This window comes from Homo sapiens, chromosome 11 (assembly GCF_000001405.40).
Source record: "Homo sapiens chromosome 11, GRCh38.p14 Primary Assembly".
Lineage (NCBI taxonomy): Eukaryota > Metazoa > Chordata > Mammalia > Primates > Hominidae > Homo > Homo sapiens.
The window spans coordinates 27,037,470-27,050,706 of record NC_000011.10 but is presented as its reverse complement, the minus strand read 5'-3'; the positions used below and the strand labels follow the sequence as shown (position 1 = coordinate 27,050,706).

At 37.3% G+C, this 13,237-nt stretch overlaps 1 protein-coding gene and 1 long non-coding RNA gene across 9 annotated transcripts in view; one reads left to right on the top strand and one right to left on the bottom strand.

Moving 5' to 3' along the window:
* The window catches only part of BBOX1-AS1 (BBOX1 antisense RNA 1), a 172,928-nt gene extending 169,407 nt beyond the window's left edge, over positions 1-3,521 (top strand). Inside the window, exon 4 of the long non-coding RNA NR_125768.1 lies at positions 3,395-3,521. This is a non-coding gene — a long non-coding RNA (BBOX1 antisense RNA 1). The remainder of the gene's footprint in view (positions 1-3,394) is intronic.
* Positions 1-9,892, bottom strand: part of BBOX1 (gamma-butyrobetaine hydroxylase 1) — an 86,995-nt gene extending 77,103 nt beyond the window's left edge. For 2 of the 8 annotated variants that reach the window (NM_003986.3, NM_001376260.1), the window contains exons 1-2: positions 9,679-9,892; positions 9,229-9,491 (exon numbers count right to left, since the gene is read on the bottom strand). The gene's annotated coding sequence lies outside the window, so the exon portion shown is untranslated. Of the gene's footprint in view, positions 1-4,302; positions 4,466-8,646; positions 8,908-9,228; positions 9,492-9,678 lie in introns of those variants that run through there. The other 6 variants (NM_001376258.1, NM_001376259.1, XM_011520402.2 and 3 more) reach the window with 5 other exon arrangements.
* Positions 9,893-13,237: the final 3,345 nt, after the last annotated feature.

Here is a 13,237-nt window from a genome sequence, read left to right as displayed (position 1 = left end):
TAAAGTTGCAGAATGCAAAATCAACATACAAATATTCGTAGCATTTATGTATAATAACAACTAACATTCTGAAAAAGGTATCGATAAGACAATTCAATTTCCAGGACCACTAAAAATACTTAGAATTACATTTAACCAAGGAGTAAAAGATCTATACACTGAAAGCTATAAGACGATGACAAAAAAATTAAATGAGACACAAATAAATGGAACAATACTCTGTGTTCTTGGATTTGAATGATTAATATTGGTAAAATATCCATACTACCAAAGTCATCTACAGATTCAGTGCAATTACTATCAAAACTCCAATGACATTTATCAAATAAATTTTAAAAGGCACTCTAAAATATGTATGGAACCACAAAAAATCTGAGTGGCCAAAGCAGTCTTGAGAAGGAAAAACAGAGTTGGAACTATCACATTATCAGATCCCAAAATATCATACAAAACTATAATAATCAAAACAGCATGGTATTGGAATAAAAATACATATAAATCAATAGAAAGTTATAGTCAGCCTACAAATAAATGTGTGCATATAAGGTCAATTAATCTTTGACAAAGATCCCAAGAACACTAAATGGGGAAAAGAAAGTCTCTTCAACAAATGGTGGAGTGTTACTAAATATCCAGATGAAGAAGTATAAAATTGGACCCTCATCTCACATCATACATAAAAATCAACTCAAAATGGATTACAGACTTAAACATAAAATCTGAAACTCTAAAACTACTAGAAGAAAACATATGGGAAAACTCCATGACATTTGTCTGGGCATGGATTTTTTTGGATATGAACCCAAATGAACAGGCAACAAAAGCAAAAATAAACAAATGAGATGGTATTGAATTAAATCCCTGCACAGCAAAGGAAATAATAAAGAGAGTGAGGAGACAGCCTAAAAAATGAGAGAAAATATTTGTAAATCATACATCTGAGGGCCATCTATGTTTTTACTTATTTTAATCAAGTAAGTGAAGCAATCATCCTATATCATTCTGTATGCTAAAGTCACTTTCAAATGGAGCCATGCTGACTCTTCTGTAAGCCACAGCAGGGCCCATACATCTGATAAGGGGTTAATTTCCAAAATATATGAGGAATTCAAACAACTCAACAGAAATAAAACAAGCTACTCAATTAAAAAATGGGCAGCTGGGTGCAGTGGTACATGCCTGTAATCCCAGCTATTTGAGGGGCTGAGGTAGGAGGATTGCTTGAACTCAGGAGTTTGAGGCCAACGTGGCCAACATAGAAAGACCCTACCTCTAAAACAATAAAAAATTAAAAATTTTAAAAATAGGCAAGGAAATGGAATAGACATTTCTCTAAAGAAGACATATAAATGGCCAGCAGGTATATAAAAATGCTATCAATTATCATCAGGTAAATACAAACCAAAACCACCTCATGAGATCATCTCACATCTGTTAGAATGACTATTGTCAAAAAGACAAAAGATAAGTCTTGGTGAGAATATGGAGAAAAGAAAACCCTTGTACACCGTTAGTGGGAATGTAAATTATTTTAGTCATTATAGAAAACAGTACAGAAGTTCCCCCCCCCCAAATAACTTATGTGGCACATATACACCATGGAATACTATGCAGCCATAAAAAATGATGAGTTCATGTCTTTTGTAGGGACATGGATGAAATTGGAAATCATCATTCTCAGTAAACTATCACAAGAACAAAAAACCAAACACCGCATATTCTCACTCATAGGTGGGAATTTAACAATGAGAATATATGGACACAGGAAGGGGAACATCACACTCTGGGGACTGTTGTGGGGTGGGGGGAGGGGGGAGGGATAGCATTGGGAGATATACCTAATGCTAGATGACGAGTTAGTGGGTGCAGCGCACCAGCATGGCACATGTATACATATGTAACCTGCACAATGGGCACATGTACCCTAAAACTTAAAGTATAAAAAAAAAAAAAAAAAGAACTACCATTCCAGCAGTATCATTACTGGCCATATAGTCTAAGGAAATGAAATCAGTATGTCAATGAGATATTTGCATTCTCATGTTCATAGCAGCATTATTCAGAACAGCCCAAACATGGAATCAACTAATTGTCCATTGATAAATGAGTGGATTAAAAATGTGGTATATATCAAACCCATATCTATCTATTATCTATCTATCTATCTATCTATCATCTATCTATCTGCCTATCATCTATCTATATCATCTGTCTACACACACACACACACACACACACACCTCAATATTATTCAACCTTAAAAAAGAAGGTAAATTCTGTCATTTTTGATAACACAGATCAACCTGAAGGGCATTATGCTAAGTGAAATAAGTCAGGCACAGAAAGACAAATGCAATATGATATCACTTATACATGGAATCTAAAAATGCCAAACTCATAGAAGTCATGAGTAGAACAGTGGGTGCCAGGGCCTGGGAGGTGGGAGAAATGGGGATATGTTGGTCAAAGCATACTACTTATTCAGGATAAATAAATTCTGGAGATCCGATGTACAATATAGTGACTATAGTTAATAATACTGTCTTGTGTATTCGAAATTTGCTGAAAGAGTAGATCTCAAGTGTTCTCACCCCCCCAACATACAATGATAACTATGTAAAGTTATGGATATATTAATTAGTTTGATTGTGGTAATTATTTCACAATGTATAGATAAGCATCACACTGACCATTATGTTTACAACTTTTATTTGTCAATTTACCTCAATAAAACAGGAAAAATAACAACATAAAGTGAAAAAAGATTATTAGTTTTAATTGTATGGACGGTAAGATTACAATAGTAGTAATAGTAGTAGAAGTAGCAGTAGTAGTAAAAGTAATAATAGTTTACATTTATTGAATGCTTTCTTTATGCCACTTACTGTTTGAAGTTCTTTATGTATAATAACTCATTGAATCCTCATTTCAAGCCAAAGAAAAAATCTACTGTAATTACCCCAAAAAACAGAAGTAGAAAGAGGCTAGGAAATACTAGCATACGGATGATTTATCTTAGGTTCTTGTAGGAATAAGACCATTTAAAAATTATTCTTATTTATTTTTATGAAGTTCTTTGTGTGCTGATATATATATTAAACTCAATACATTTTAAAAAATATATTCATTCATGTGTTTGAAAATTTTTTGGCTGAAAGTATTTTTATATAACTTGAAATGTGAAACACTAATACTTAATGAATACCCAGTCCAGGGGTGCATTTTCTACCATGAGGAACATGGTTCCTCTGCTTAAAGATGGTGGTGTGCCCATGTCACACCAACTATTGAAGTGATCACTCCTATAGACATCTGTGCCAAGAAACATTAATTACATTTCAGACTGCTGTTTTGAGCTTTCTATCTGTTTTTTTCTTTTTCTTCTTCTACCTAGGTTTGAATGAGAGAGGCAGAAGCACATTTCCAATCACTGGGGGAACCTGAGACCATTCTTTCCAACCCATTTTGCCAAATGGATGTCCTGAGGAAGGTGTTCCAAGAGAGGCGATGTCAGGATAGTGTCTGATTGGAGGGTGCCCAAGGCACATGGGAGAATGTGGAAGAACTGGAAAGACTTGGGTGTTGCTGATGTTAAATTACTTAGGTATCTCTGTAGAAACTTAGTGGGTCATTCCTTCTCTTCACAATCCCTTTCTTAAATTTATGATAAACGTGAAAGGTAATCAAAACAAAAGCAGGGCAAAATGGGAAAATAAGTTCCCACTTTAACTTTTTCTGGATTATTTAAAGGTCTACTGGGGCAAATGTGATGAAAATTAAAAAAAAAATTGCAGATCATCAGTGTTTAAAAGCAAATGCTTTCTGAAAATTATAGCTTGTATGTTAACATGATTTGTTGAAATCTGTTTTTGTAATTTAACCAACTTGACTTGTTAGAATTGAGCTCAGTTGAAGCACCATAGCAATTTAGTTAGATGATAAGCTACTCTGTTTCTCTGAAGAAAAGAAAAATTTAGATATAGCTCCTATATATAGCTCCTAGCTATATAGGATGAATTTTTATCAGTGGGATGTCTTTGACAAATTAAAGAACACCTATAAAACAAAAATTCTTATTTTACACTTATTTTTCTTCTTACAATTGTAATTTAGTTTATGAAATATCAGATTGGTTTTGGTGGGAAACAGTAGTTTCACCTGTTCTGAAAAACAGCCTTTGGATTTTTGGCATATTCTTATCTGATGGGATAGGTTTCTTTTACTTCATATTAATACATGTGTGTAGTGTGTGTGTGTGTGTGTGTGTCTGTGGTGTGTTTCCCTCCTAATTTATTCACCTACCATATTTTTTCTCTTCAGAGTAATAGAAGTTTGTCTGGGACTTCTGTTGGGCACAAGTAAATTGCTTGTTTTTGAAATTACTTCAGTGATGGGTGTGGGTTTTCTCCTTTTTTTTCTTTTTCTTAATATTACAAATTCAAGTTTGTCTCCTGATTCTTCAGCACTGTTTGGAAAATCAAGAAAGTAGCTCTGAAATTTATTTTATGCATTGATCTTGGAAATAAAAGTAACTTAGAGCTAGAGCTTTTAGAGCCAGAAAGAAACAGCCTGTGCTATTGTTGGGTCACAGGGCCCTCATCAGACATGCAGGGAAAATGGAAGCTCAGAAATGTTGGGTGTGATTTGTCCAGGCTCACACTGCTCATTAGTGAGAAAGGTTGCCCCAAACCTGGATTTGCCAGCTAAGTTTATATGTATTAAGTGATACTCTTCAAGTTCTCATAAAAGAAATTGCAAAAGTTCTTCAAACATTACTTACAACTAATTTCAATCATAGGCTTTGGAGGGAATTCACAGGAAGCAGATGCAGAAACTTTATAGTTATTATACATAAAATTAAAATTGTAGTAGATTAATATGTACCTGAGAAGGCTGATTTATCTACTAAATTACTTATCCCTCAGAATAAAAGGCTGTTATTTCTTGAGTGTTTTTAGTAAATGGAAAACAAGACCAGCATAGACCTATGTTAGCAAACGTCAGTATCTGTTAATTTTCATCTCTTTCTCAGGAGAAGTATGATGCTTCGATAAAATTCAACAGCCCTTCATGCTAAAAACTCTCAATAAACTAGGTATTGAAGGAATATATATCAAAATAATAAGAGTTACTTATGACAAACCCACAGCCAATATCATACTGAATGGGCAAAAACTGGAAACATTCTCTTTGAAAACTGGCACAAGACAAGGATGCCCTCTGACACAACTACTATTCAACATAGTATTGGAAGTTCTGGCCAGGGTGATCAGTCAAGAGAAAGAAATAAAGCGTATTCAATTAGGAAAAGAAGAAGTCAAATTGTCTTTGTTTGCAGATGACATGAATTGTACATTTAGAAAACCCCATCTTCTCAGCCCAAAATCTCCTTAAGCTGATAAGCAACTTCAGCAAAGTCTCGGGATACAAAATCAATGTGCAAAAATCACAAGCATTCCTATACACCAATAACAGACAAACAGAGAGCCAAATCATGAGTGAACTCCCATTCACAATTGCTTCAAAGAGAATAAAATATCTAGGAATCCAAGTTAGAAGGGATGTGAAGGACCTTTTCAAGGAGAACTACAAACCATTGCTCAAGGAAATAAGAGAGGACACAAACAATGGAAAAACATTCCATGCTTATAGATAGGAAGAATCAATATCGTGAAAATGGCCATACTGCCCAAGGTAATTTATAGATTCAATGCTATCCCCATCAAGCTATAATTGACTTTCTTCACAGAATTGGAAAAAACTACTTTAAAGTTCATGTGGAACCAAAAAAGAGCCCACATAGCCAAGACAATCCTAAGCAAAAAGACAAAGCTGGAGGCATCATGCTACCTGACTTCAGACTATACTACAAGGCCACAGTAACCAAAACAGCATGGTACTGGTGCAAAAACAGATAGACCAATGGAACAAAACAGAGGCCTCAGAAATAATGCCATACATCTATAACCATCTGATCTTTGACAAACCTGACAAAAACAAGCAATGGGGAAAGGATTTCCTATTTAATAAATGGTGTTGGGAAAACTGGCTAGCCATATGTAGAAAGCTGAAACTGGATCCATTCCTTACACCTTATCCAAAAATTAACTAAAGATGGATTAAAGACTTAAACGCAAGACCTAAAACCATAAAAACCCTAGAAGAAAACCTAGGCAATATCATTCAGGACATAAGCATGGGCAAAGACTTCATGACTAAAACACCAAAAGCAAGGGCAACAAAAGCCCAAATTGACAAACTGGATCTAATTAAACTAAAGAGCTTCTGCACAGCAGAACTATCATCAGAGTGAATAGACAACCTACCGAATGGGAGAAAATTTTTGCAATCTATCCATCTGACAAAGGTCTAATATCCAGAATCTACAAAGAACTTCAACAAATTTACAAGAAAAAAAAACCCATCAAAAATGGGCAAAAGATATGAACAGACACTTCTCAAAAGAAGACATTTATGCAGCCAACAAACATATGAAGAAAAGCTCATCGTCACTAGTCATTAGACAAATGCAAATCAAAACCACAATGAGATACCATCTCATGTCAGTTAGAATGGTGATCATTAAAAAGTCAGGAAACAACAGATGCTAGAGAGGATGTGGAGAAATAGGAACACTTTTACACTGTTGGTGGGAATATAAAGTAGTTCAAACATTGTGGAAGACAGTGTGGCAATTCCTCAAGGATCTAGAACCAGGAATACCATTTGACCCAGCAATCCCATTACTGCGTATACACCCAAAGGATTATAAATCATTCTACTATAAAGACACGTGCACATGTATGTTTATTACAGCACTGTTCACAATGGCAAAGACTTGGAACCAACTCAAATGCTCATCAATGATAGACTGGATAAAGAAAATGTGGCATATATACACCATGGAATACTATGCAGCCATAAAAAAGGATGAGTTCATGTCCTCCGCAGGGACATGGAGGAAGCTGGAAGCCATCATTCTCAGCAAACTATCACAAGAACAGAAGACCAAATACTGCATGTTCTCACTCATAAGTGGGACTTGAACAATGAGAACACATGGACACAGGGAGGGGAACATCACATACCAGGGCCTGTGGCGGGGTAGGGGGCTAGGGGAGGGATACCATTAGGAGAAATGCTAGGGCAATTAGTCAAGAGAAAGAAATAAAGGGTATTCAATGTAGATGACGCGTTGATAGGTGCAGCAAACCACCATGGCATGTGTATACCTGCACATTCTGCACGTGTACCCCAAACCTGCACATTCTGCACATGTACCCCAAACGTGCACATTCTGCACATGTACCCCAGCACTTAAAAGTATAACTTAAAAAAAATTAGGACAGGGTGTGGTGGCTCATGCCTGTAATCCCAGCACTTTGGGAGGCTGAGGTGGGTGGATCACGAGGTCAGGAAATCGAGACCACCTTGGCTAACACGGTGAAACCCCGTCTCTACTAAAAATACAAAAAGTTAGCCGGGCGTGGTGGCGGGCGCCTGTAGTCCCAGCTACTCAGGAGGCTGAGGCAGGAGAATGGCGTGAACCCGGGAGGCGGAGCTTGCAGTGAGCCGAGATCGCGCCACTGCACTCCAGCCTGGGCGACAGAGTGAGACTCCGTCTCAAAAAAAAAATAAATAAATAAAAATAAAAAATTAGTAGCTAAATCTCAAGATTGTTGTGTGTTAATTAACCTCACCATCTGGCATTTCAGCTTTGGAGAGAAAGGGCAAGAAGTTTTCTAGACATTACACCATGAAGGCTTAACTACATTGTTATTATTTTATATTTTAACCTTTAAATAACAAAATCAATTAATTTTTACTTGGTAAGGTGGAGGTTGACCAGACAATATTTGTAGTGCCTGCAGTTTGACATCATTTGAGTACATACATACTCTACTCAAGACACCTGCTACCTAAGGTTCTTCAACTTGAAATCTTTTTAAAATTATAAAATGGTTATTATTATTATTTTTAAACTTGGTTTAATAAGTGGCTGAGATACTTAACAATTTGTGAATATATTCTCATGTGAATAATGAATTCTATAAAGCAATTAGAAGCCAGGTACAGTGGCCTGTAATCCCAGCACTTTGGGAGGCCGGAGCAGAAGGATTGTTTGAGGCCAGGAATTTGAGACCAGCCTGGACAATATAGTGAGACCCCCATATCTACAAAAGAAAATTAGGCAGGCATGGTGGTGCATACACATACTCTGAGTTACTTGGGAGGTTAAGACAGGAGAATCGCTTGAACCCAAGAGTTTGAGATTACAGTGGGCTGTGATTGCATCACTGCATTCCAGCCTGGATGACAGAGCAAGACCCCATCTCAGCAACAATAACAACAAAAATAATGCCATTAGAAAAACCAGTGCATTCTCTAAAATAGGTTCACAATTCTGCCTGTCTTGCTTAAGGCATTAAATTTCATGCAAACACTTCATTTGTAAATTATACAAAGGAAAACTTTAGCTTCACTTTAGTGGAATCACCATTTTCAGATTGGAAATCAAATTATCAAGGCTTTGTTTTCTGATGTAATGCAAAGTACTGGGTTTAGATTTTAGGAAAATTTCTAAATTATTTAAACCAGAACATATATTCATTATGAGAAACCTTACGTTTTTAATCAAATCCATACCTGTAATATACCTTCTTGAGCTTCGTTAAGGGAACAAAACAATTGAAGATGTGCATAGTGGCTTTAATTGGCCAGCATTTTAAAGAGGCATGTTATAGTCAGCTTTTTGAGCTTAACAAAGAGCTAGGGTATCATATGCAGTCACCATTCTTTGGGATGGGTTGTGGATTATTCAGGGAACATTTTGAAAATCCAACCAGAATCCTCCTTGCCCCATCCCCAGTCTCTTTTTAGACAGCGTTCTCTCTGTCTCTTCTGTTTACTTTCTGGATCAGCTTAGGGATTATAAAGTAATTTGACTATCAGACTAAGCCAAACATAATTGGGAAAGAGAAGCTGCCAAGAAGCAATCAGATCCACTGCATTCCAAAACCAAGCCTATTCTAAATGCTTGATGGACCATCCCCAGCACAGCCCACATGACTGTGAGCTACATGTGAATGGAGTTCTAATTGGATGCTCCCCACCACCTCAGTCCACAGACTTGAATTCACAAACCCTTGCAATAAGGAGAAAAGGAAGATGAGCTCAATCATACCTGTTCTCAGATATGCTTTACACAGCAAACCACCCAAAACTTACCAAGTAAAGAAACTGTCAGCTTTGGTCCTTAGATCCTTTGGAGAGGGAGCATTCTGGTGCCCGTCACATCCCAGGAATGATCTGTCCCCAGTTTCCAATCTGATGTGGTACTTTTTCTTGGAAGCCTTTTTGCTCCTGGCAGTTTCACTGTGGCCCTGCCCCCAGACACAGCTGAGGTTTGTAAATGAGGAAGGATGTCTCAATCTGAAGGTGTAGCAACTACTGAAGGGAGCTTGGAGGTTTTTTGTCTTTGTTTTTTTGTGCTGTGTTTTTTTTAAAAAAAAAAAAAAAAAAGAAAGAAAAGAGGCTTTATGGCCTAGAGGGGAAGCAGTTAGCAAGAGAAAATACTTTGAGTACTGTTGGTTCCCAAAACCACAAAACCCCAGGACTCAATGCAAAGCATTGCCTCAGTTTGGAATCTTTCTTGATAGAAGGAAAAGCAGTTCTCACCTGTCTTACCTTCTATTTCTGTACCAGCAGTGGCAACAGCAGCAAGTGAACAAGCAGTTCACTTCTTTCCCACCTGTTCAGAGTGACAGCTCATTTATTGCACAACTCACTTAGGGCAGAGGCATTGAGATGGGCATTTAACAGGGAGGAGCTACCAGCGCTCACCCTAGCAGAGGTGAAGTGGTATCTACTTGTCAACAGAGTATTCCAATATGAGCCTCTTTAAAGGGAGCTTGAGTAGTTATCAGGGACTGGTAGAAAGACAGGGATTGGTCCCCTAAGCTTGATGCCCTCCTTTCTCTGCAATTTTGGCTGGAATAGGAAGTAGTTTCCAGAGAGCTTGGGGCTGTTTTTGAAGGTACTTGGTTGCCCAGTGATTTGATTCACAACACACAGCCCTTAGGGCAACAAAAGGGAAAGGCCAGAATAGGCAGCATGCCAGCATTCAGAGCCTGACTGCCAGGCATACTCTTGGAGAGTGCCCAGTGTGGGGGAGACCCTGTTGGACTGGTCTCAGGTCCTAGGTCCTAACAGAGTCTAGATTACATTAAAAGAAAGTCTACAGGTGGAAACTAAGGTCCAGGAGAGAGACGCTTGAGTCATCTGCCCTCCTCCCACCTAACACCCTCTTCCTAGGCAGATGTAGAAGCAGCCTGCAACTTGTTGCTTCTTGCCCGAAGGATTCGCAGGGCTGTGAGTGAGACTCAGTCAAAAAAGAACAAGAGGTAGCCACACAGAGAGAAAATGCAGCCCAACTGTCTGGTGGCCTCCTTTATGGGAAATCTCCCCTTCCAGAATGTCAGCATCCCCTCCCTAAACGATGTTTTTTCAGATCCTTTAACAATAAAATTTAAACTGTTTCCCTGCATCTGAAGAAAGGAACCTCTTTTCCACTTTCCTCCTTTCTTCCCCCAAGTCTCCAGGTCAAATTACTGACACCCACTGGCCAGTGAAAACAACAGCAGGTTTTGTTTTCCATGTATGAGAGGAGGGTGTGTATATGTGGGTGCCGTCATAAATGTGACCAGCATCTTAAACCCACGGTAACTGAAGTTATAAGTATGCCAAAAGCAATCAGATAATTATATTTTAATAATTCATGACATCACAGAAATATACACAATGAATTTTTCCTTTACACTTTGTACTTTAGTAACAATTACTGGAATAAATTAGGTAAATTCTGTTTCAGCTTTAAGAAAGTTGCTGACAAGAATGTGCCAGATATAAATAGTTTCTAATGGAATGATTAAATAGAACAAACAATAAATAAACCGACAAGTAAATCTGTTAATAAAGTTTAAAGACTTGCACATAAAGAATTGATTCTCAGAAACAGGTAAATAATCAAAACTCTGCTCTCCACTGTAAGAAGCTTCTTAAATGAACATGGGAGTGCAGCTATCTCTTTGACATACTTATTCTATATCCTCTGGATATATATCCAGAGGTAGGATTGCAGGATTATATGAGAGCTCTATTTTCAATTTTCTGAGGAACCACCATACTGTTTTCCATAACGGTTGTACCAATTTACATTTCCAGCAACAGTGTATGTATTATTCTATTCTCACACTGCTATAAAGACATACCTGACTGGGTAATTTATCAAGTTTACTGACTCATCGTTCTGCATGTCTGGGGAGGCCTCAGGAAACTTACAATCATGGAAGAAGGCAAGAGAGAAGCAAAGGCACATCTTACATGGTGGCAGGCAAGAGAGAGCAAATGAATGAAGGAAGAGCCCCTTATAAAAGCATCACATCTCGTGAGAACTCACTCACTATGACAAGAACAGTATGGGGGAAACCACTCCCATGATCCAATCACCCACCACCAGATCCTTCCCTTGACATGTGGGGATTATGGGGATTACAATTTGAGATGAGATTTGGGTGGGGACACAGAGCCAAACCATATTAGTATACAAAGATTCCTTTTTCTCTACATTCTCTTCAATACTCATCTGTTGTCTTTTTGATGAAAGCCATTCCAACAGTGTAAGGTAGTTTCTCATTGTAGTTTGCGTTTTAATTTACATTTCCATGATGATTAGTGATTTGACCATTTTTTTTTATATATCTGTTGGACATTTGTATGTCTTCTTTTGAGAAATGTCTATTCAGATACTTTGTCTATTTTTTAATCAGATTTTTTTTCTATTGAGTTGTTTGCTGTTGAGTGTTTCTTATATATTTTGGATACTCCTTGTCAGATGGATAGTTTACAAATATTTTTTCCCATTCCATAGATTATCTTTTTACCCTGTTGACTGTTGCTTTGGTTGTGCAAAAGCTTTTTGTTTTGATGCCACCTCATTTATTTGTACTTTTGTTGCCTGTGTTTGGGGTCATATACAAAAAACCACTGCCTAGACCAATGTCATTACAGCATTGTTCACAATAATCAATAAGGGGAATCAACCTGGGCTCATCGATCGATGAATGGATAAAGAAAATATATTATGTGTGTGTCTCTGTGTGTGTGTGTGTGTGTGTTTGTGTGTATGTAATGGAATTCTATTCAGCCCTGAAAAAGAAGGAAATCTTATCATTTGTGACAACATGGATGAGCTTGCAAGACACGTACTAAGTGAATTAAGGCAGGCACAGAAATATGAGCACTGCATGATTTCACTTAGAAGTGGCAACTAAAAAAGTCAAACTCATAGAAGCATAGAGTAGTATGGTGGTTGTCAGGGCATGAGAGTGAGGACAGGGGAGTGGCTAGATGATGGCCAAAAGGTACAAAAATTTAGTCATATAGGATTAATAAGTTCAGGAGACCTACTGTGCTACAGTTAGTAATAATATCTCATATACTTGAAAATGGCTAAGAGGCTAGATAGTAAATGTCCTCACAACATAGAATGATAAGTATATGAGGTGATGGATATGTTAATTAGCTTGATTTCATGATTTCACAGTATATACATACATTAAAACATCAAGTTGTACACCATAAATGTATATAATTTTTACCTGCCAACTATACCTTAATTTTTTTTACTTTAAGTTCAAGGTTACAGATGCAGCTTTGTTATATAGGTAAACTCATGTCATGGGGGTTTGTTGTACAGATTATTTTGTTACTCAGGTATTAGATCTAATACCCATTAGTTATTTTTCCTGATCCCCTCTCTCCTCCCATTCTCTACCTTGCAATAGGATGCAGTGCCTGTTGTTCTCTTCTGTGTATCCATGTGTTCTCATCTTTTAACCCTCATTTATAAGTGAGAACATGCAATATTCGGTTTTCTATCCTGTATCAGTTTGCTAAGGGTAATGGCCTCCAGCTCCAGCCATGTCCCTGCAAAGAATATGATCTCATCCTTTTTTATGGCTGCATAGTATCCCATGGTGTATATGTATCACATTTTCTTTATCCAGTCTACCATTGATGGGCATTTCGGTTGATTCCATGTCTTTTCTATGTGAATAGTGCTGCAATGAACATATGCTTGCATTTGTCTTTATGATAGAATTATTCCTTTGGGTATATACTCAGTAATGAGATTGCTGAGTTGAATGGCATTTCTGTTTTGAGGTCTTTAAGGAAT